At 48.5% G+C, this 24,028-nt stretch overlaps 1 protein-coding gene and 2 pseudogenes across 1 annotated transcript in view, besides 1 other annotated feature; 2 read left to right on the plus strand and 1 right to left on the minus strand.

Moving 5' to 3' along the window:
- MAPK8IP1P1 (mitogen-activated protein kinase 8 interacting protein 1 pseudogene 1) lies at positions 1,551-3,190 on the plus strand (annotated as a pseudogene).
- Positions 3,191-5,989: 2,799 nt separating this feature from the next.
- The window catches only part of LRRC37A (leucine rich repeat containing 37A), an 89,751-nt gene continuing 71,712 nt past the window's right edge, over positions 5,990-24,028 (plus strand). Inside the window, exon 1 of the mRNA XM_047437205.1 lies at positions 5,990-6,105. Coding sequence (XP_047293161.1) covers positions 6,005-6,105 — 101 coding nt within the window. The 5' untranslated portion in view covers positions 5,990-6,004. The remainder of the gene's footprint in view (positions 6,106-24,028) is intronic.
- DND1P2 (DND microRNA-mediated repression inhibitor 1 pseudogene 2) lies at positions 16,999-18,559 on the minus strand (annotated as a pseudogene).
- Positions 17,623-18,169: an enhancer, noted in NCBI's record as "H3K4me1 hESC enhancer chr17:44337043-44337589 (GRCh37/hg19 assembly coordinates)". NCBI's record gives its function as "activates a minimal SCP1, AML or CMV promoter by ChIP-STARR-seq in naive H9 embryonic stem cells {active_cell/tissue: H9 hESC(naive)}" and the evidence as "EXISTENCE:reporter gene assay evidence [ECO:0000049][PMID:30033119]".

The raw sequence follows: 24,028 nt of genomic DNA on the forward strand, positions 1-24,028 counted from the left end.
ACGATTTATCTAAACTGGTCATTCTGGATCAATAAGTTTGGCTAAAAATAAATAATATCGAAATTGGTCACAGGAAATCTATTCTTTTTTTTTTTTTTTTTTTTTTTTTTCAGACAAAGTCTCACTCTGTCGCCCAGGCTGGAGTGCAGCAGCATGATCTTGGCTCACTGCAACCTCTGCCTCCCGGGTTCAAGCAATTCTCTGCCTCAGCCTCCCAAGTAGCTGGGATTACAGGTGCCTGCCACCACGCCTGGCTAGTTTTTGTATTTTTAGTAGAGATGGGGTTTCACCATCTTGGCCAGGCTGGTCTTGAACTCCTGACCTTGCGTTCTACCTGCCTTGGCTTCCCAAAGTGCTGGGTCTGTCACCCAGGCTGGAGTGCAATGGTGCAATCATGGCTCACTGCAGCCTCAACCTCCCTGGGCTCAGATGATTCTCCCACCTTAGCCTCTCAAGTAGCTGGGATTAAAGGCATATGCCACCATGCCCAGCTAATTTTTCTATTTTTTTTGTAGAGACAGGGCATCCCTACCTTGCCCAGGCTGGTCTTCAACTCCTGGTTTCAAAGGATCCTCCTGCTTCAGCCTCCCAAAGCACTGGGTCTATTATTCCCTTTCATATTCAAACTTAATTCTGCATTTTCAAGGCCTTGAATTTTCAAGGGCAGCTTTTTCTGTCCCTGAACTTAATCTTCAGCTCCTCTCACCTCCTGGGAGGTTGGGGGGTGGGGAAGAAAAGTCCCAACCCTCTAATCCTGCTTTGGTCTTTTGCCGCCAGCCCCCATCCTGAAGCTACCAGTCAATTTGTTTGCATACAAGAAGATATCACTTTGGAGATTCTAAGTGTATACGAGGAAATGAGGTCAAAGACCAAATATATATATTTCACTATATCACACTTCAAACTTTTGTTTACTGTTTCCCTTCTCCTACTCTATTATAAACCTTTGAGGGTGGGGACTGTGAGTTATTTATCTTTATATTCCCAGTGTCAAGAGTGTTTAGCTATAATGGGAATGAATCTCAAAGTTTCTTGAATAAATGACAAGAAGAATCATAGTTGCATGAACTAAATTCATTATTCTCAGTCCTTGAGGTAAATGAATATATTGATATTATGTCTGCTTACTCTTTTTTTGCGAGAGAGAGAAAGAGGAGGGAGGGAGGGAAGGAAGGAAAAAAGGAAGGAAGGCGAAAAGAGTGAAAGAAAAGAGAGAGAAAAAGAGAGAGAAAGAAGGAAGGGGAGGGAAGGAAGGAAAAGAAGGAGGGAAGAAGGGAAAGGGAGGGAGAGGAAGAAAAGAAAGAAGAAGGAAGGAAAGAAAGAAAGAAGAAAAGGAGGGAGGAAGGAACGAAGAAAGGGAAAGAAGGAGGGAGGGAGGGAAATGAAGGAAAGAAAGAAAAAAGAAAGAAAGAAAAAAGAAAAGAAAAGGAGGGAGGAAGGAAGGAGGGAGGGAAGGATGGAAGAAAGGGAAAGAAGGAGGGAGGAAGGGACATGAAGAGAATAAAGAAAGAAAGAAGAAAAGAAAAGAAAAAAGAAAAGAAAAGGGAGGGCTCTGCGGGCGGCGGCGGCGCGGGGAGCCGGTTGCAGGCCGAGATGCTGCAGATGGACCTGATCGACGCGACGGGGGACACTCCCGGGGCCGAGGAGGACGACGACGAGGAGCGCGCGGCCCGGCGGCCGGGAGCGGGGCCGCCCAAGGCCGAGTCCGGCCAGGAGCCGGCGTCCCGCGGCCAGGGCCAGAGCCAAGGCCAGAGCCAGGGCCCGGGCAGCGGGGACACGTACCGGCCCAAGCGGCCCACCACGCTCAACCTCTTTCCGCAGGTGCAGTTGTCTCAGGACACACTGAATAATAATTCTCTGGGCAAAAAGTACAGTTGGCAGGATCGGGTGTCTCGATCATCCTCACCCCTGAAGACAGGGGAGCAGACACCACCGCATGAACCCATTTGCCTGAGCGATGAGCTGCCCCCCCAGAGCAGCCCCGCCCCCACCACAGATCGAGGCACCTCCACCAACAGCCCACGCTGCTGGAGCTGGTGAGCCTGCGGCCGTGCTTCAGAGACTACAGTGACGAGAGTGACTCGGCCATCGTCTACGACAACTGTGCCTCCGTCTCCTCGCCCTATGAGTCAGCCATCGGAGAGGAATATGAGGAGGCCTCCCGGCCCCAGCCTCCTGCCTGCCTCTCCAAGGACTCCACGCCTGACGAACCCGACGTCCATTTCTCCAAGAAGTTCCTGAACATCTTCATGAGTGGCCGCTCCCGCTCCTCCAGTGCCGAGTCCTTCGGGCTGTTCTCCTGCATCATCAACCGGGAGGAGCAGGAGCAGACCCACCGGACCATATTCAGGTTTGTGCCTCGACACGAAGACGAACCTGAGCTGGAAGTGGATGACCCTCTGCTAGTGGAGCTCCAGGCTGAAGACTACTGGTACGAGGCCTACAACATGCGCACTGGTGCCCGGGGCATCTTTACTGCCTATTACGCCATCGAGGTCACCAAGGAGCCCGAGCACATGGCAGCCCTGGCTAAAAACAGTGACTGGGTGGACCAGTTCCGGGTGAAGTTCCTGGGCTCAGTCCAGGTTCCCTATCACAAGGGCGATGTCGTCCTCTCTGCCGCTATGCAAAAGATTGCCACCACCCGCCGGCTAACCGTGCACTTTAACCCGCCCTCCAGCTGTGTCCTGGAGATCAGCGTGCGGGGTGTGAAGATAGGTATCAAGGCCGATGACTCCCAGGAGGCCAAGGGGAATAAATGTAGCCACTTTTTCCAGTTAAAAAACATCTCTTTCCGCGGATATCATCCAAAGAACAACAAGTACTTTGGGTTCATCACCAAGCACCTCGCCGACCACCGGTTTGCCTGCCACGTCTTTGTGTCTGAAGACTCCACCAAAGCCCTGGCAGAGTCCGTGGGGAGAGCATTCCAGCAGTTTCACAAGCAGTTTGTGGAGTACACCTGCCCCACAGAAAATATCTACCTGGAGTAGCCGCGCAGCCCCGCCCTCTGCGTCCCCCGGCCCTCAGGCCAGTGCCAGGACAGCTGGCTGCTGACAGGATGTGGCACTGCTTGAGGAGGGGCACCTGCCACCGCCAGGGGATGAGGAAGTGGGGGCCGCTGGCTCAGGGTAGGGGAGGGTGGGGCAATGGGGAGAGGCAAATGCAGTTTATTGTAATATATGGGATTAGATTCATCTATGGAGGGCAGAGTGGGCTGCCTGGGGATTGGGAGGGACAGGGCTTGGGGAGCAGGTCTCTGGCAGAGAAGGATGTCCGTTCCAGGAGCACACGGCCCTGCCCCATCCTGGGCCATACCTCCCCTGCCAGGGCTCGGGTGCTCTGGCTCCTGCCTTGATGAAGCCCATGTCCTGCCTTGATGAAGCCTGTGCCACCTGCAAGTGCCCGCCCTGCCCCTGTCCCAACACCCACCGAAGAGCCCTGAGCTCAGGCTGAGCCCAGCCACCTCCCAAGGACTTTCCAGTGAGGAAATGGCAACACATGGAAGTGAAGTCCCTGTTCTCAGCTCTGTCATCTGCAGGGCTTCTGGGTGGCTCCTGCCACTGACCTCACTGGCATGCTAGCCTGTGGCAGGCCTAGGACCTCAGCGGGGAGGAGGAGCTGCTGCAAGGCCCTATCCCAGCAGGAGAGGGAGGCTTCCTGACTGACACAGGCTAGCCCCATCTTGGTCCTGTCACCCTGGCCCCAACTATTAAAGTGCCATTTCCTGTCAAAAAAAAAAAAAAAGAAAAGAAAAGAAAAGGGAGGGAGGGAGGGAGGCAGGAAGGAAGGAAGAGAGGGAGGGAGGGAAGGGAGGAAGAAAGGGAAAGAAGGAGGGAGGGAGGGAAATAGAAAGAAAGAAGGAAAGAAAAAGAAAGAAAGAAAGAGAAATAAAATAAAAATTAAAAAACCATAAGGTTAAAGTAAACCCTTTTTCTTCATACAGATTAAAACACATGACTTCAAATTACAGCTTTGCTTCTTAATAGCTTGGTGATGTAGGACGTTATGTAACCTCTCTGTGCCTCAGTTTCCTCATTTATAAAATAGGGCAATAATAATATCTAGCCCATAAGGCATTGTGAGGATTAAATGTGAAATGCTGATCACAAATACCTAGCAGCCCAATAGATACTCACTGTAATAATTATTATTTTTATAATTTCTGCAAAAGTATGGTGATGATTCTTGGGTTAACCTAAAGGCAGATTTTCTTTTATTTCTTCCTGTTTCTTTTCTTTTCCTTGTTCACTTTAAAGAATTAAAAAGAAAATTGATTCCAGCATTTTGGAATAAAAATTTGCATCAAAAAGAATTTATTCATTTTATTGACATACAAATAAAATGTCATTTGTTTATTCAATAAACATTTATTAAATGTCTGGTAAATTTCAGACATCATGCCAGGCACAGGGATGACAATGACAATAAGATGTGGTCTCTGCCCTCAGGGAGCTGATAGTCCAGGAGACTGACAAGTAGACAGGTGATTACATGCAATGTAACAAAGGCTATGATGTCATACAAGAAGACAAGTGGGAGTATGTGATGGGAGTATGGTTTTGACCAGTTCCTCCTCTTAGATTTATCCCTTTTTCTTTGGCTATAAAGCAAAAGAATTGGTCCTATTTTTTTTTCTTAACTTTGCAAATTAAACCATAAATTTTAATAACTTTATAAAGATAAAAGGCAAGCGGTCAGATTCAGTGGCTCACACCTATAATCCCAACACTTTGGGAGGCCGAGGCAGGTGGATAACCTGAGATCAGGAGTTCGAGACCAGCCTGGCCAACATCGCGAAACCCTGTCTCTACTAAAAATACAAAAATTAGCTAGGTGTGGTGGCAGGCACCTGTAATCCCAGCTACTCAGGAGGCTGAGGCAGGAGAATCGCTTGAACCTGGGAGGCGGAGTTTGCAGTGAGATGAGATGGAGCCATTGCTCTCCAGCCTGGGCTACAGAGCAAGACTCTGTCTCAAAACAAAACAAAACAAAACAAAACAAAAAGATGAGCAACTTGAATTATGGAGGACACTAGAAATAGTGTTTCCTACAGAATCAGGGCTTCCTACCAACATAGTCACTTCTAGGGTTTTCGACCTGAAAAGTTCTGTGGCATATTGTTTCTTTGCTATCCACTTTTTTTTCCCTATTTTTCCCCCTCTTTCTCTCCTCTACTTTATCTCCTAGAGATCTAGGTAGTTCCCAAAGGAATAATGCTTTACGGAGTCTAATGTTGATTTATTAGGTAAAAACAGAAAATGACTTTTTTTTTTACCCACAAGTTCCATACCAAAAAATGAATGTAAACTTCTTATGCAGTTTCACACATTGAAAATGCAGGTTATTTTAATTCCATTGCATTTTTCAGAATTCTCAATCGCAATCCTCTGACAACTGTTGAAGATCCGTATCTCTTTAAATTACTGGCATTAAAATATCTGTAAGTACTATAGTACTCTTGGGAGTCATGAGATGATTTATACTCTTTTTAAATTTTTCATCAAAGATTAAGTATTTTGCATTTAGGCTAAAATGTCATAATTTAAATTTTAACTGAGTTATTGAAAAACATTATTGGCAAAGGAAAGGATGTGTAATGGTCAAGATAGCCAGCAGGGGAAAGAGAACAGTGTTGAAGAACCCATATAGATTTGGAACATGTAGACACATGGAGGAATATTACTTAACCAAGAAAGCAAAGGGGAAAAGGTGTTCATTATTCTAAAAAGGAAGAAAAGAGTAAATAATCAAGATGGGTGAATGCAATATGAAAATGAGAAGTAAGATAATGGTAAAAAAAAAAAACAGTGTAAGACCTACTCTTGAATATCATTAATTTGATGATGCAAATCAACTTTAATTTCTTTAATAAGAGCTCTCTGGAATTTTGCGGCAAATAAACTGTTGAACTGGCTTGTTTTATAGGGAAGCCAAAATTGAAGTAATCACATGTCCTTGAATTATCTTTTTAAGTACAGAATTTTTTACTGGGGTTCATATCATGAATGTTTCGGCTTTCTTCTTCAGAGACGTGGGAACAACGCAAGTCCCACTTACAACACTTAAGAACATTCTCATGATGACCGTTGAACTGGAAAAACTGTAAGTTATTTTTTTCTTAGACTTATTTTCACCCTGTTGCGTTTTTAGGTTTGTTTTATTATTTTCTTAAGTCAGGTTTATTGAGATATAATTTTCATATACTAACATTCACCCTTTTTAAGTGTACAATTTGATGAGTTTTGACAAATGTATAGTTACATAACCACCACCACATTCCCAATATAAAGCATTTCTGTCGCCTCAAAAAGGTCCCTCGTGTCCCTTTGTAGTCAATCACCTCCTCCCACCGTCAGCCCCTGTTAGCTACTAATCTGATTTCCTATAGTTTTGCCTTTTCCAGAATATCTTATAAATGAAATCATATAGCATGTAGCCTCTTGTATTTGACTTCTTTCACTTAGCATAATTTTTTCTTTTTTGAGATGGAGTCTCACTGTTGCCCAGGCTGCAGTGCAGCGGCATGACCTAGACTCACTGCAACCTCCACCTCCCAGGTTCAAGTGATTCTCCTGCCTCAGCCTCCTGAGTAGCTGGGATTACAGGCACATGCCACCACGCCTGGCTAATTTTTGTATTTTTAGTAGAGACGAGGTTTCACCATGTTGGCCAGGCTGGTTTGGAAGTCCTGACCTCAAGTGATCCGCCCGCCTTGGCTTCCCAAAGTGCTAGGATTACACGTGTGAGCCACCTCACCTGGCCTCACTTATCATATTATTTTTTGAAATTATGCTGCCATCCATGTTGCTGCACCCATCACTACAGCTGGCCCTCCATATCTGCAGGTTCCTCATCCATGGATTCAACTGAACATGGATGGAGAATACTTGAAAAAAATGAAATATATAAAATAACTATAAGACAATAAAAACAGTAGAAAATTTAAAATACAGTATAATTATTTACATACCATTTACACTGTATTAGGTATTTAAAGTATACCTGAGGCTATATACAAACATTATGTCATTTCATAGAAAAGACTTCAGCATCTGTGGACTTTGGTGTCGGCAGGGGGTCCTGGAGCCAATCCCCTGCAGACACCGAGGGACAACTGTTCACTCCTTTTTATTGCTCAGTAGTATTCCAGTTGTGTGGAAACCCCATCTCTACTAAAAATACACAAATTAGCCAGATGTGGTGGCACACACCTGTAATCTCAGCTACTCAGGAGGCTGAGGCACAAGAAGTGCTTGAAGCTGGGAGGTGGAGGTTGCAGAGTCTCCTTTACACTTGCTGTCCTCCCTCCACTGCCGCCTGACACACTCCTCCCCAGCAGTGGCCTCTTCATAGGCAAATTTAAGGAGCACCTTTTAGTCCTTGTCCTGCTTGACTTGGCCCTGATGTTTGAAATTCTTGATAAATCTTTCTTCCGGAAACACACTCTTTCTATGCTTCCAGGAAATCTTTTTCTTGGTTCTCCAGACAACTTCTTAGACTCCTTGACCAATTCCTTCTTGTTGCCAACAATGGAAACAAACCAGCCCTACCTAAGCAAAGCACATTAAAACTCACTAGAAAGATACAGGGGAGGGGGCGCCCACTAAACCACTAAAGAGACAGGAGGTGGGGAGCTGTAGGACCAGGTTTGGGAACCTGCAAGAATCAAGACCAGAGCCCCTGAAATAGCAAGAAGCTGGAAGCACAGGAACTGTCAGAGCCAGATGGCTGTCACTGCAGTCAGCGCCTCTGATTGTTTGTTTTTGAGATGGAGTCTCGCTCTGTCGCCCAGGCTGGAGTGCAGTGGCATGATCTCGGCTCACTGCAACCTCCACCTCCCGGGTTCAAGCAATTCTCCTGCCTCAGCCTCCCGAGTAACTGGGACTACAGGAGCCTGCCACCATGCCCGACTAGTTCTTTATATTTTTAATAGAGATGGGGTTTCACCATGTTCGTCTCAAACTCCTGACCCCAGGCGATCCACTTGCCTCGGCCTCCCAAAGTGCTGGGATTACAGGCGTGAGCCACCATGCCTGGCCAGTTTTTGTATATTTAGTAGAGACTGGTTTTGCCATGTTGGCCAGGTTGGTCTCAAACTCCTGACCTCAAGTGATCCATCCACCTCCGCCTCCCAAAGTGCTGGGATTATAGGCATGAACCACTGTGCCCAGCCACCTCTGATAGTTTTCATCGTCCTCGGGCCACTGGCTCCCAAATCACGGTTCCAGACAAAAGCTTACAAGTAGTCCAGCTTTGGCCAGGCTCAGTGTGATGGTTAATACTGAGTGCCAACTTGATTGGATTGAAGGATACAAAATATTGATCTTGGGTGTGTCCGTGAGGGTGTTCCCAAAGGAGATTAACATTTGAGTCAGCGGGCTGAGAAAGGCAGACCCACCCTTAATCTGGGTGGGCACAAGCTAATCAGCTGCCAGCAAGGCTAGAATATAAGCAGGCAGAAAAATGTGAGAGACTGGCTTAGCCTCCCAGCCAACATCTTCCTCCCGTGCTGGATGCTTCTTACCCTCCAACATCGGACTCCAAGTTCTTCAGTTTTGGAACTCAGACTGGCTCTCCTTGCTCCTCAGCCTGCAGACGGCCTATTGTGGGACCTTGTGATCCTGTGAGTTAATACTTAATAAACTCCTGTATATATTCCATTAATTCTGTCCCTCTAGAGAACCCTGACTAATACGCTCAGTGACTCACACCTGTAATCCCAGTACTTTGGGAGGCTCAGGCAGGAGGATGGCTTGAGCCCCAGAGTCTTCTTCTTCTCCTTCTCCTTGTCCTTCTCTTCCCTTCCCCTTTCTCCTCTTCCTCTTCCTTCTCTTCCTCTTCCTCTTCCTCTCCTTCCTCTTCCTCTTCTTCCTCTTGTTTGTTTGAGAAAGGTTCTCCCTCTGTTGCCAAGGCTGGATTGTAGTGGCACAATTGTGACTCACTGCTTCTCAGCCTCCTGAGAGCCCAGGAGTTTGAGGCTGCAGTGAGCTATGATCACACTACCACACTCCTGCCTGGGTGACAGAGCAAGACCCTGTCTCAAAAAACAAACAAAAAACTCTGGTATGATAGAGGTGAATTGTCTGTTTTATCCTGATAATTCTGCTTACCTTAGTCCCGTGGTTCTCAACTGGGCCAATTTTGCTCCCCAAGTGACATTTGGCAATATCTGGGCAGAGGTCAAGGACGCTGCTTAACATCTTTTTTTTTTTTTTTTTGAGACACAGTTTTGCTCTTGTTGCCCAGGCTGGAGTGAAATGGCACGATCTCGCCTCACTGCAACCTCTGTCTCCCGGGTTCAAGCGATTCTCCTGCCTCAGCCTCCCGAGTAGCTGGGATTATGGGCATGCACCATCACGCCTGGCTAATTTTGTATTTTTAGTAGAGATGGGGTTTCTCCATGTTGGTCAGGCTGGTCTCAAACTCCCAACCTTAGGTGATCAGCCCACCTCAGCCTCCCAAAGTGCTGGGATTACAGGTGTGAGCCACCTCACCTGTCCTGCTTAACGTCTTAAAACACACAGGACAATTCCCCCATAAAAAATGATGACCAGCCGAAAATGTCAACAGTATCAAGGTGAAGAAATTGCCATAAAGGCTTGGTAAACAGGGATGGTATGACGACACTATTGATAGGCCACATTAAAATACTTAGGGCCATATCCATTATCCCTGTTTTTATGATTTCTTCTTTGTCCCCATGCAGTTTCAGGGGCAAAATAAGGGAGTAAGTCAGAGGTGGTTCCAAATAGACATCTGGGAATCTTAGGGTGTAATATGGCCCTCATGGAGGCCCTTGCTGAGCTTAGGGCCTGATTCTGGAATCCTAGCATTGCCAAGAGAGGCAGGCTGGCAGGTGAGAAGACAAATAATGGGAGAGCCCACATATGTTGGAATTCATTTGATGGTATCTAAGCTGGGGTGATTGTCCCCACTAGCATTACATGACTATGGATCCAGTTATTTGGAGAAATCCATTTCCTCCACAGGGAATATATACTACATTAGAACCAAAGATGGAATCCTTAGTAAATGGAATCATTTGGCAAAATTCAGTTGTCTGAAATTTTTGCATAAAATTCTCTTTTTTATTTTCATTGAGCCAAATAAATAAAGTATCAGGTATTTACTGGGGTCACCATTCTTTGATTCATTGATTTTTTTTTTCAGACAGGATCTCGCTGTCACCCACGTTGGAGTGCAGTGGCATAATCTCAGTTCACTGCAACCTCCACTTCCTGGGCTTAAGTGATTCTCCCACCTCAGCCTCCCAAGTAGCTGGAAATACAGGCGCGTGCCACCATGCCTCCATTTTCTTTCTTTTTTTTTTTTTTTAATTGATCATTCTTGGGTGTTTCTCGCAGAGGGGGATTTGGCAGGGTCATAGGACAATAGTGGAGGGAAGGTCGGCAGATAAACAAGTGAACAAAGGTCTCTGGTTTTCCTAGGCAGAGGACCCTGCGCCTTCCGCAGTCTTTGTGTCCCTGGGTACTTGAGATTAGGGAGTGGTGATGACTCTTAAGGAGCATGCTGCCTTCAAGCATCTGTTTAACAAAGCACATCTTGCACCGCCCTTAATCCATTTAACCCTGAGTGGACACAGCACATGTTTCAGAGAGCACAGGGTTGGGGGTAAGGTCACAGATCAACAGGATCCCAAGGCAGAAGAATTTTTCTTAGTATAGAACAAAATGAAAAGTCTCCCATGTCTACCCGCCTCTACACAGACACGGCAACCATCCGACTTCTCAGTCCTTTCCCCACCTTTCCCCCCTTTCTACTCCACAAAACCGCCATTGTCATCATGGCCCGTTCTCAATGAGCTGTTGGGTACACCTCCCGGACGGGGCGGCTGGCCGGGCGGGGGGCTGACCCCCCCACCTCCCTCCCGGACGGGGTGGCTGCCGGGCGGAGACGCTCCTCAATTCCCAGACGGGGCGACTGCCGGGCGGAGGGGCTCCTCACTTCTCAGACAGGGCGGTTGCCGGGCGGAGGGGCTCCTCACTTCTCAGACAGGGCGGTTGCCGGGCGGAGGGTCTCCTCACTTCTCAGATGGGGCGGCCGGGCAGAGACGCTCCTCACCTCCCAGATGGGGTCACGGCCGGGCAGAGGCGCTCCTCACATCCCAGACGGGGCGGCGGGGCAGAGGCGCTCCCCACATCTCAGACGATGGGCGGCCGGGCAGAGACGCTCCTCACTTCCTAGATGGGATGGCGGCCGGGCAGAGACGCTCCTCCCTTTCCAGACTGGGCAGCCAGGCAGAGACGCTCCTCACTTCCCAGACGGGGTGGCGGCCGGGCAGAGGCTGCAATCTCGGCACTTTGGGAGGCCAAGGCAGGCGGCTGGGAGGTGGAGGTTGTAGCCAGCCGAGATCACGCCACTGCACTCCAGCCTGGGCACCACTGAGCACTGAGTGAACGAGACTCCGTCTGCAATCCCGGCACCTCGGGAGGCCGAGGCTGGCGGATCACTCGCGGTTAGGAGCTGGAGACCAGCCCGGCCAACGCAGCGAAACCCCGTCTCCACCAAAAAAATACGAAAACCAGTCAGGCGTGGCGGCGCGTGCCTGCAATCGCAGGCACTTGGTAGGCTGAGGCAGGAGAATCAGGCAGGGAGGTTGCAGTGAGCCGAGATGGCGGCAGTACAGTCCAGCATCAGAGGGAGACCGTGGAAAGAGAGGGAGAGGGAGACCGTGGGGAGAGGGAGAGGGAGGGGGAGGGGAGGGGGAGAGGGAGAGGGAGAGGTGCATTTTCTTATAAACCCAATTTCCTCTTTAGTGCAACTCTACCATTTGAAAGGAACCTTTCTATTGTAATTTACAAGCTGTGAATAACCGCTATGTAATTCTTTCCAAGGATTAATAAACTGAGAGAGGATTTGAACCAACAGAGGTAGGGGAAGATTAGAAGGGGGATGCAAGTGGCCACAGATCTTAGAGGCGGCCAGCAGAGGGCGCTGCTCCAAGGTGAAGGTCGCACCCTGAGAGGCCATCCTTTTTTGTAGGACCAGACTGGGGTGTAAGGACAGTGCCTCATCCTCACAACGACAGACCCGTGTTCTGGGTGTGGATTTGCCTCCCTTGCCTGCGGGACTTCTGCTAGCACTGCCGTTCCTAGACTTAGACCATGCTAGAATGAGTCCAGGAACCGAGGAGAGGAGATGGGAGTGGCTCCTCCCACTGTGGCCCCTAATAATTCACATGAAGAATTTTTGCTTTCCTTGCCAGGGACCCGGGACTCAGTGGGTCCAGAGGTCCTAGTGCCAAAGGAAGAAATGTGTAGATCAGGAAATACTATTATGGTTTTATTCAACTGGAAGCCGAGGCTGGCCATTTATTGTATTTATTTATTTATTTATCTATCTATTTATTTATTTATTTAGAGACAGAATCTCACTCTTGTTTCCCAGGCTCCCAGGCTCAAGAGATCCTCCTACCTTAGCCTCCTGAGTAGCTGGTACTACAGTCGCATGCCACCTTGCCCAGCTAATTTTTTTTTTTTTTGAGACGCAGTCTCATTTTGTTGCCCAGGCTAGAGTGCAGTGGCGCGGTCTTGGCTCACTGCAACCTCCACCTCCTGGGTTGAAGCGATTCTCCTGTCTCAGCCTCCGGAGTAGCTGGGATTACAGGCATGTGCCACCGCGCCTGGCAATTTTTTTTTTTTTAGTAGAGGCGGGGTTTCACCATGTTGGCCAGGCTGGTCTCAACTCCTGACCTTGTGATCCGCCTGCCTCAGCCTCCCAAAGCACTGGGATTGCAGACATAAGCCACCGCGCCTGTTTTTTTTGTTTTGTTTTGTTTTCTGACAGAGTCTCTGTCACCCAGGCTGGAGTGCAGTGGTGTGATCTCAGCTCACTGCAACCTCTGCCTCCTGGGTTCAAGCGATTCTCCTGCCTTAGCCTCCCAAGTAGCTGGGATTATAGGCGCACACCACTATGCCCAGCTAATTTTTGTATTTTTAGTAGAGGTGGGGTTTCACCATGTTGGCCAGGCTGGTCTCAAACTCCCGACTTCAGGTGATCCACCCACCTCGGCCTCCCAAAGTGCTGGGATTATAGGTGTGAGCCATCAAGCCCAGCCCTGCCCAGCTAATTTTTACACTATGGGCAAGTATGCTGCCCAAGAGTGCTCTGGAACTCCTGGGCTCAAGTGATCTTCCTTCCTCGGCCTCTCAATGTGCTTGGATTACAAGCATGAGCCACCTTGCCCAGCCGAAGCTGGCCATTTAAAGTTCCTCATGCTGCTGAATCAATAAGGATGGAAGGCGGCTACTATTATGGGCTAAGTGTTTGCATCCTCCCCAAATTCTTTTTTTTTTTTTTTTTTTGAGATGGAGTTTTGCTCTTGTTGCCCAGGCTAGAGTGCAGTGGCGCGATCTCTGCTCACTGCAACCTCCACCTTTCAGGTTCAAGTGATTCTCCTGCCTCAGCCTACCGAGTTAGCTGGGATTACAGGCATACGCCACCACACCCGGCTAATTTTGTATTTTTAGTAGAGATGGGGTTTCTCCATGTTGGTCAGGCTGGTCTCAAACTCCCGACCTCAGGTAATCTGCTGACTTCAGCCTCCCAAAGTGCTGGGATTACCAGCATGAGCCACCGCGCCCGGCCCCCAAATTGTTTTTTGTTTTTTTTTTTTGAGACGGAGTCTCGCTCTGTCACCCAGGCTGGAGTGCAGTGGCATGATCTTGGCTCACTGCGAGCTCTGCTTCCTGGGTTCACGCCATTCTCCTGCCTCAGCCTCCCGAATAGCTGGGACTACAGGCGCCCGCCACCACGCCTGGCTAATTTTTTGTATTTTTAGTGGACACGGGGTTTCACCGTGTTAGCCAGGATGGTCTCGATCTCCTGACCTCGTGATCTGCCTGCCTCAGCCTCCCAAAGTGCTGGGATTACAGGGGTGAGCCACCACACCCGGCCTCGGCCCCCAAATTCTTATGTTGAAGCCCTCACCTCCATGTGATGGTATTAGAAGGTGGGGCCTTTGGGACGTAATTAGGCTGACAGTGCCCCATGATGGGATGAGTGTCTTAAAAGAAAAGACCAGGTGGTCTGGCTAGTGGCTCACCCCTGAAATCGCAGCACTTTGGGAGGCCAAGGTGGGTGGATCACTTGAGATCAGGCGTTTGAGACCAGCCTGGGCAATATGGTGAAAAGCCATCTCTACTAAAAATACAAAAATTAGCTGGGCGTGGTGGCGCAAGTCTGTAATCCCAGCTACTTGGGAGGCTGAGGTGGGAGAATCGCTTGAACCCAGGAGGTGGAGGTTGCAGTGAGCCCAGATCATGTCATTGCACTCCAGCCTCCAACCTGGACAGAGAGAGCATCTGGAGAGTCTCTGTCTCAAAACAAAAAGAAAAAAAAAAGAAGAGACCAGAGAGCCTTTCTTCTCTTTGTCCACCAAGTGAAGATATGGCAAGAAGGCAGCCATCTGCAAGCTAGGAAAAGAGCCCTTGCCAGCACCCAATTGTGCTATCACCCTGATATGGGACTTCCCAGCCTCCAGAACTGTGAGTAATCAATGTCTATTGTTTAAGCCACCCAGTATGTAATACTGAGCTGACTAAAACCATCACCGAACTAGCCTCTTTACATATGATTAGCAAGAGGAAAATGGCTCTGTTACTTAATGGAGGAAGGAGGCTATGTCTGAAAGCCAAAAATTCACTGGGGACACATCTTAGCAGGCTCTTGACCCTAAGACCTGGTTAATGGAAAAGTAGAGCAACCCAATAAAAACAAGACCACCAAGAAGTCAGGTCTTATGGAATAAAGTATTGAGTGTCCCTATGAGGCACAGAACCCTTCGAAAGGGGATTGGAAGAAGTGGTGAAGAAGGCGGCTATGATTATCAACTTAGACTTCATCGCCATTTGTAGAAGGAGGCTTCTAACAGCTATGTTTTATGTTAATTGGCTCTTTTCTCTTCTTTTTTCTTTCAACCTTATATTAAGAGCACTGGCAGAAGCTAGCGGTTTTGGCATCCTGTAATTATTAGCTGTATAACCTTGGCCAAGTAACTCAACCTTTCTGTGCCTCAGTTACTCATCTGTAAAACAGGGTAATAAGTCTCAACCTCGTACTTATGTTGTTATAAAGATTTAACACTAGGCTGGGCATGGTGGCTCACACCTGTAATCCCAGCACTTTGGGAGGCCGAGGAGGGTGGATCACCTGAGGTCAGGAGTTCAAGACCAGACTGGCCAACATGGCAAAACCCTGTCTCTACTAAAAATACAAAAAATTAGCTGGGTGTGGTGGCACGTGATTGTAATCCCAGTTACTCGGGAGGCTGAGGCAGGAGAATTGCTTGAACTAAACCTGGGAGGCGGAGGTTGCAGTGAGCCAAGATCGTGCCACTGCACTCTAGCCCAGGCAACAGAGTTAGACTCTGTCTCAAAAAAAAAAAAAAAAAAAAAGTAACACTTTGAACAAAAAAGAAAAAAATAATAAAATTTAAAAAAGATTTAACAATTGGGCCAGGCATAGTGGCTCATGCCTGTAATACCAGCACTTTGGGAGCCTGAAGAGGGAGGATTACTTGAACCCAGGAGTTCCAGACCAGCCTGGACAACAAAGCAAGACTTTGTTTCTACTTAAAAAAAAAAAAAAAACACCAAAGTCAGGTGTGGTGGTACACACCTGTGATCCCAGCTACTTGGGAGGCTGAGATGGGAGGATCCCTTGAGCCTTGGAGGTTGAGGCTGCAATGAGCCATGATCATACCACTGCACTCCAGCCTAGGCGACAGAGTGAGGCCCATGTCAAAAAAAAAAAAAATGATCCCCAACATTTAGCAGCTTAAAACAAAAAACATTTATTATATCACACTTTCTGTGGGCCAGGAATCTGGGAGGGACTTAGCTGGGTGGTTCTGCTCAGTTCTCTTGGGATGTTTCAGTCAAGCAGTGGCCTGGGGCTGCACTCTTATCTGAAGACTCAATTGGGAGAAAATATGCATTCAAGGTCACTCATTGGTTGTTGGCAGGCTGTAGTTCCTTACTGAATATTGGTTGAAGACTTCATTGGCTTACTACCTGGACTTCTCCATAGACTGCTTGAATGTCCTCCCCACATAGCTAGAGTGAATGACTAAAAAAGAGAGAGAACACACACAGCCCAGGTAAGAGTTCAGTCTTTCTAAGTCATTATATGAAAGAGATTCTTTTTTTTTTGAGATGGAGTCTCGCTCTGTCGCCAGGCTGGAGTGCAGCGGCACGATCCCAGCTCACTGCAACCTCTGCCTCCTGGGTTCAAGTGATTCTCCTGCCTCAGCCTCCCAAGTAGCTGGGATTACAGGCGTGTGCCACTATGCCCAGCTACTTTCTGTATTTTTAATAGAGATGGGGTTTTACCATGTTGGCCAGGATGGTCTTGATCTCTTGACCTTGTGATCCACCTGCCTTGGCCTCCCAAAGTGCTGGGATTACAGGCGTGAGCCACCACGCCTGGCCGAAAAAGATTCTTGCACACACATGTTTATAGTAGCACTATTCACAATTGTAAAAATGTGGAACCAGTCCAAATGCCCATCAATCAATGAGTGGCTAAAGAAACTGTGGTATAGATATACAGTGGAATACTACTCAGTCATAAAAAGGAATGAATTAATGGCATTTGCAGCAACCTGGACAGGATTGGAGACTATTATTCTTTTTTTTTTTTTTTTTTTTTTTTTGAGATAGAGTCTCACTTGGTCACCCAGGCTGGAGTGCAGTTGTGCAATCTTGGCTCACTGCAAGCTCTGCCTCCTGGGTTCACACCATTCTCCTGCCTCAGCCTCCCAAGTAGCTGAGACTACAGGCGCCTGCCACCACGCCCGGCTAATTTTTTTTTTGTATTTTTAGTAGAGACCGGGTTTCACCATGTTAGCCTGGATGGTCTCGATCTCCTGACCTCGTGATCCGCCCACCTCAGCCTCCCAAAGTGCTGGGATTACAGGCATGAGCCACCGCACCCGGCCTATTTTTTTTTTTTTTTTTTTTTTTTTTTTTTTTTTACTAACCAGGGGTTTAACATAAATACAACCAGCATAGAAAGACCCAAAACTATACAGAAACCAAAACCAGAATGCCATGTGGTGGAGGCAAAGGGCAGAATTTCTGACCCCTTTGGCTCAGCTGCCCTTCCCCACAAATAAAAACCAACAAAGAGGACAAATCAGGACAATAAAGAAGATTCATGCTAAGCTGTGGCAGAGGGGGGAAGGTATGATCGGGTGGGGGTGGGATAAGGAATGGCCATGGAAGATAACTGGGTCAGGTTGGACCCTGGGCTGGGAGGGGGAGGGCAAGGCCCCTCACCACAACTTAAGCCAAACCTAAGCTGCCCCCAGGTGCCATAGGTCCCTGTCCCAGCAGGGAGGCTGATGGGCCTGGGCCCATGCCCCTCCCCACCTTTGGGGGTCAGATAGTGGCCACCCAGGTTTGCTGGGTTGGGGCCTGATACAGGCTCTGCATGCCCATTCGGGCTGCCTGTGGAGAGAGAATGGAGTCACTGTTTAACCATGCTACCTGCCTCAGCCCCAGCAGACCACAGGAGGTTGGCCCCAGACTCACTGAGTGCCTGCAGCAGCCCTACAGACACAGCATCCTTGGCCACCTCATGCCCATCCCGGCCATCTAGGGTCAGCACAACCCAGATGAGGCCGCTGAAGGGCACCGGATGCCCAGGAATCACCACCTGGTACCAGAAGCGGTGCCAGCCAGCAGGTCCTATGCCCAAACACTTGGTGAGGAACACAGGGCTGCCCAGCTTCATTCGTTGGCACAGCAACTGCAGGGTAGCCCGAGCCCCTTGGGACCCTAACTTGTCCCTTGCCAAGGCCAACTGGCTGCCCTCTGGCTGTGGGGACCGCAAGGAGGGACCCACAAGCTGCTGGCGAAGTCGCTGCTTCAGTTCTGGCTTGAGCCACTCCACAGCCACCTGCTCTCCACAGAGGTGTGGCTGCCCTTCCTCCAGGGCCTTTTTGGCCATGGCAGCGGTCCAGTGCGAGCTGAATTTGAGCAGAGCGATCTGCCCGGGCGCAGGTCCGGGGCTGGGCAGCAGCCGCGCCTCCTGCAGGCCGGGACCCAGCGGCTGCAGCGCGGGCAGCAGCGCGGGCAGCAGCGCGGTGCGGGTCAGATTCGGCGGCAGGCAGTCAACGCTCAGCTCACACTTCCCGGTGCTGCGGCACACGAGCAGCGGGCAGGACGGCCGCAGCGGGTGGTTGTGCAGCGGGCGATGGCGGCCTGCGCGCCGCGCCGCGAGCTGCAGCGGGCATATGCGAAGCCGCGGTTCAGGCCGCTGAAGGTCATCATCAGGCGGAACTCGTAGAGGCGGCCCACGCGCTGGAACAGCAGGATAGCTGGTGCTCATACACTTCCTGAGGCAGCCGCCCGATGAACACCTCTGACCCAGCCGGCGGCGGGCTGCCCACCCAGCCTGGGGGTGGCCCGCCATACTTCCTCTGCCCGTTCACCTGCACCAGGCGATGCCTGTCTCCCTGACCCACGCCTCCAGCGCCGCCTTCACCCTCTCACACCACAGCTCACAATCCCGCTTGGACTGCATGGCTCTCTATTCTCTTTTTTTTTTTTTTTTTTTTGAGACGTAGTTTCACTCTTGTTCTCCAGGCTGGAGTGCAATGGCGGGATCTTGGCTCACCGCAACCTCCGCCTCCCGGGTTCAAGCGATTCTCCTGCCTCAGCCTCCCAAGTAGCTGGGATTACAGGCATGCGCCACCATGCCTGGCTAATTTTGTATTTTTAGTAGAGACGGGGTTTCTCCCTGTTGGTCAGGCTGGTCTCAAACTCCCGACCTCAGGTGATCCACCCACCTCGGCCTCGCATAGTGCTGGGATTACAGGCATGAGCCACCGTGCCCCGTCTATGGAGACTATTATTCTCAGCGAAGTAACTCAGGAATGGAAAACCAAACATCGTACGTTCTCACTCATAAATGGGAGCTAAGCTAGGAGGATGCAAAGGCATAAGAATGACACAGTGGACTTTGGGGAATCAGGGGGAAAGGATGGGAAGGGGGTGAGGGATAAAAGACTATTAATTGGGTGCAGTCTATATTGCTTGGGTGATGGGTGCACACAAATTTCACAAATCACCACTAAAGAACTTACTTACGTAACCAAACACCAGCTGTTCCCCAATATCCTATGGAAATAAAAATTTTTTTTTAGAAAAAGAGTTCGGTCTTTCTGTAACCTAATCTTGGAAGTGTATATTATCACTTCTTCCATAGGCTATCAGTCTCCCAGACCAACCCTGCTACAGGGTAGGGGAGACTACATGGTATGTGAATACCAGAAAGTGGGGGCCACTGGGGACTGGCTATTTGGAGGATGGTTACTACAAACTATATTTGTAATTTTTTTTTTCTTGAGATGGAGTCTTGCTCTGTTGCCCAGGCTGGAGTGCAATGGCACGATCTCAGCTCGCTGCAACATCCACCTCCTGCGTTCAAGTGATTCTCCTGCCTCAGCCTCCCGAGTAGCTGGGATTACAGGCACGCACCACCACACCCAGCTAATTTTTTGTATTTTTAATAGAGATGGGGTTTCTCCATGTTGGTCAGGCTGGTCTCAAACGCCTGACCTCAGGTGATCTGCCCGCCTCGGCCTCCCAGAGTGCTGGGATTACAGGCCCGAGCCATGGTGCCTGGCTATATTTGTAATATTTTAACCACTAAAAAAAAAAAAAAGAAGAAGAAGAAGAAGAAAAAGAAACAAGTATGGGAAAATATTAAGATCTGATAAAACCGGGTTATACTTATGCAGGTATTCATTACATTATTCTCCATAACTTTTTAAATGTTTAATAATAAAAGTAAAAATATTTTCCCCTTAAAAATGTGCAGAGCATACCTCAAATAATGTTGACAAAGAATCCTAAAGACAATTATTATTATTATTATTTTTTGAGACAGGTTCTTGCTCTGTTGCCCAGGCTGGAGTGCAGTGATGCCACCTGAGCTCACTGTAAACTCCGTCTCCCGAGTTTAAGCAATTCTCCTGTCTCAGCCTCCTGAGCAGCTGGGACTACAGGCGAGCACCATCATACCTGGTTAATTTTTATATTTTCAGTAGAGACGGGGTTTCATCATATTGCACAGGCTGGTCTTGAACTCCTGGCCTCAAGTGATCCACCCACCTTGGCCTCCCAAAGTGCTAGCATTACAGGCATGAGCCACTGCACCGGGCCTCTCAAACTCCTGACCTCAGGTGATCCACCTGCCTTGGCCTCCCAAAGTCCTGGCATTATAGGCGTGAGCCACTGCGCCCGGCCGATCTTCCTTCCTTTCTCCCTTCCCCTCTTCTTCTTCTTCTTCTTCTTCTTTTTTAATTAATAGAGATGGGATTTTGCCATGTTGCTTAGGCTGGTTTCAAACTCCTGGGCTCAAGCTATCTGCTCGCTTCAGCTTCCCAAAGTCCTGGGATTAAGGGCGTGAGCCACTGCGCCTGGCCCCAGTAAGGATTTAAAAGCTCAGGAATTATTAGTCAGCTTCCTTTTTTGTTCATCCTGTTGTTTGTTCATTTCAGTCTATTCCCTTTTTATAATTTCCTTCTTCATAAGGACTATTTCTCCTTGTACTTTTGTGAGAATTCCCGTAACTTGTAATCCCAGCTACTTGGGAGGCTGAGGCAGGAGAATCACTTGAACCGGGAGGCGGAGGTTGCGGTGAGCCGAGATCAAGCCATTGCACTCCAGCCTGGGCAACAAGAGCAAAACTCGGTCTTGGAAAAAAAAAAAAAAGAAAAGAAAAGAAAAAAGAAAGGAAGGAAGATCCTCATTGGACAGAGCAAAAAGCAGAATTGATGGCACTGAAAATGAAATCAGCAGCTGATGTACAAGTTCCAGAATGTCTCCTAGAGTAACAAGGAAATCCGGGTGTGGTAGTTTATGCCTGTCATCCAAGCACTTTGTGAGGCCAAGGAGGTTAGTTAGCTTGAGCCCAGGAGTTGGAGACCAGCCTGGCCAACATGGTGAAACCCCATCTCTACAGAAAATATAAAAGTTAGCTGGGTTTGGTGGTGGGTACCTGTAGTCCCAGCTACTCTGGAGGCGAAGGAGGGAGGATCACCTGAGTCCCGCGAGGTCAAGGCCACAGTGAGCCTTGATAGAGTTTTGCCACTGCACTCCAGCCTAAGCAACAGTGAGACCCTGTCTCAATAAACAAACAAACAAACAAATAAATAATTGTAGAGACAGAAGATAAAATGGAGCCCGGTGCAGTGGCTCACGCCTGTAATCCCAGAACTTTGGGAGGCTGAGGTGGGCAGATTACTTGGCCCAGGAGTTTGAGACCAGTCTGCCCAACATGGTGAAACCCCGTCTCTACTAAAAATACAAAAATTAGCCAGGCATGGTGGTGTGTGCCTATAATCCCAGCTACTTGAGAGGCTGAGACAGGAGAATCGATTGAACCCAGGAGGTGGAGGTTGCAGTGAGCTGAGATCACACCACTGCACTCCAGCCTGGGTGACAAAGCCAGACTCTGTCTCAAAAAAAAAAAAAAAAAAAAAAGGCTGAGCACGGTGGCTCATGCCTGTAATCCCAGCACTTTGAGAGGCTGAGCCGGGCAGATCACCTAAGGTCGGGAGTTTGAGACCAGCCTGACCAACATGGAGAAACCCCGTCTCTGCCAAAAATACAGTATTAGCAGGTCGTGGTGGCACATGCCTGTAATCCCAGCTACCTGGGAGGCTGAGGCAGGAGAATCGCTTGAACCTGGGAGGTGGAGGTTGCAGTGAGCCGAGATTGTGCCACTGCACTCCAGACTGGGCAACAAGAGTGAGACTCTGTCTCAAAAAAAAAAAAAAAAAAAAGAGAGAGAGACAGGGTTTCACCAGGTTGGCCAGGCTGGTCTTGGACTCCTGACCTCAAGTGATCTGCCCGCCTCAGCCTCCCAAAGTGCTGGGATTACTGGTGTGGGCCACTGCATCTGGCTCCCACCATCTCTATTAAAATAAGATAAAATAAACATAAAATAATGAACCGACAAAATAATAATACAATTCATTGTAAGTAAAATGCTATCCTGAGTTCTGTGAGTCATTCTGGATAATTCAAATTCTCTAGAATTACCACCTCAGCTGACTTTTTTTTTTTTTTTTTGTAGAGACCAGGCTGGTCTTGAATTCTTGAGCTCAAGTGATCCGCTTCCCTCAGTCTCCCAAAGTGCTGGAATTACATGTGTGAGCCACTGAGCCTGGCCTACAAATTCTTTATTATACAACACACAGTAGATGCTCAATAAATATTTGCTAAGCAGAAACATACACTCAAAATACCAGAAATTATCAAGGAAGTTGCCAGTTGGTCTCTTGGGTTCTTCCTCCCGACAGGTATACACACCTATTGTAAAGATGAACACATTAGGCTGTGAGAAACCAATACTGTTAAACATTCCAATCAGGTGACAAACTCCCTGGGCTCTGGTTTATATTACCAAGCAACCTGATGATAACTTGGCTTCCTGTGTGGCTTGTTTATAGAAAGAGAATGCTACCCAGGCTGACGTGAGTTGCATTTCTGAGTTGATTTCTCACTGTAAATTAATAAACTGGCATTCTGGCTACATAGATCAGTCTCTTTGAACTCTTTGTACCTTCCACCATTAGTGTGATTTCTAAGGCTGCAAGCCAGACACTGCCCAAGACCCAGCACTGGACTCTGGTGAGTTCTTCCAGCTGTTGCCACCCCAGGAGGCTCTGGGAGCCCCTGGGAACCATCCAGCTTGCTCTCTGTCTCTACATTTCAGGGTGTGGGTTTCAGGGCATTCACAACATTCCTGCAACAGAAGAGTTTTGGGAACACCCCCAGCAGGATGTGGGTGATTTGAATGTATGTCAGAGATGTGGTTGTAACTGAGAAATCTTAAGCCTAGTGAATTTTATTCCACTTGACTTAAATAAAGAGCACGTGAAAGAAGGGGATCTGAGGACATCTATGAACAGGGCCCCGAGGGCATGAACTTACTAGTGTTTATATGACTAGTGTTTATCTGGGCCTGTCTAGTCTGGAGAACCTGACTCTGGTGTACCCAAGCTTTGCAGTGGCTGTAGAGGTTTGCTCTTTTGGAGGGAGAAGATAATTCATTCCTCCAACACCTGAATGAGGGTAGATTAACCCACCTCCTTCAGCTGCAATTTGGCAAATTTCTCTTCTTTGATTTAATGCTCAACGGACAAATTTCCTTTCTTCTTCTTCTTCTTCTTCTTCTTCTTCTTCTTCTTCTTCTTCTTCTTCTTCTTCTTCTTCTTCTTCCTCTTCTTCTTTTTTTCTCCTCTTCTTCTTCTTCTTCTCCTCCTTCTCCTTCTTCTCCTTCTTCTTTTCTCTTCCTTCTCCTCCTCCTTCCTCCTCCTCCTCTTCCTACTCTTCTTCCTCTTCCTCTCCTCCTCCTCTTCCTCCTCCTCTTCCTTCTTCTTCTTCTTTCTTTTTTTTTCGGTTTTGAGACAGGGTCTCCGTCACCCAGGCTGGAGTGCAGTGGCACGATCTCGGCTCACTGCAACCTCCACCTCCTAGGCTCAAGCGATCCTCCCACCTCAGCTTCCCATGTGGCTGGGACCAAGGCGTGAGCTACCATGCCCGGCTAATTTTTGTATTTTTTGTAGAGACAGGGTCTCTCCATGTTGCTCAGGCTGGTCTTGAACTCCTGAGCTCAAGAGATCCTCCTGTCTCAGGCTCCCAAAGTCCTGGGATTACAAGCACGAGCCACCATGCCCGGCCTCAACAGGCAACCTTCTGATTAATAATTAGACCTCTGTGCCGGCCGTCGTGGCTGATGCCTGTAATTCCAGCACTTTGGAAGGCCAAGGCGGGTGGATGGCTTGAGGTCGGGCGTTTGAGACCAGCCTGGCCAACACGGTGAAACCCCGTCTCTGCTAAATATACAAAAATTAGCCTGGCATGGTGGCGTATGCCTGTAATCCCAGCTACTTGGGAGGCTGAGGCACGAGAATCGCTTGAACCCGGGAGGCAGAGGTTACAGTGAGCTGTCATATATAATGAAACAGTTTTACTAAACTTAGGAA

The sequence above is a fragment of the Homo sapiens genome, chromosome 17 (assembly GCF_000001405.40).
Source record: "Homo sapiens chromosome 17, GRCh38.p14 Primary Assembly".
In the NCBI taxonomy this organism is placed as follows: Eukaryota; Metazoa; Chordata; class Mammalia; order Primates; family Hominidae; genus Homo; species Homo sapiens.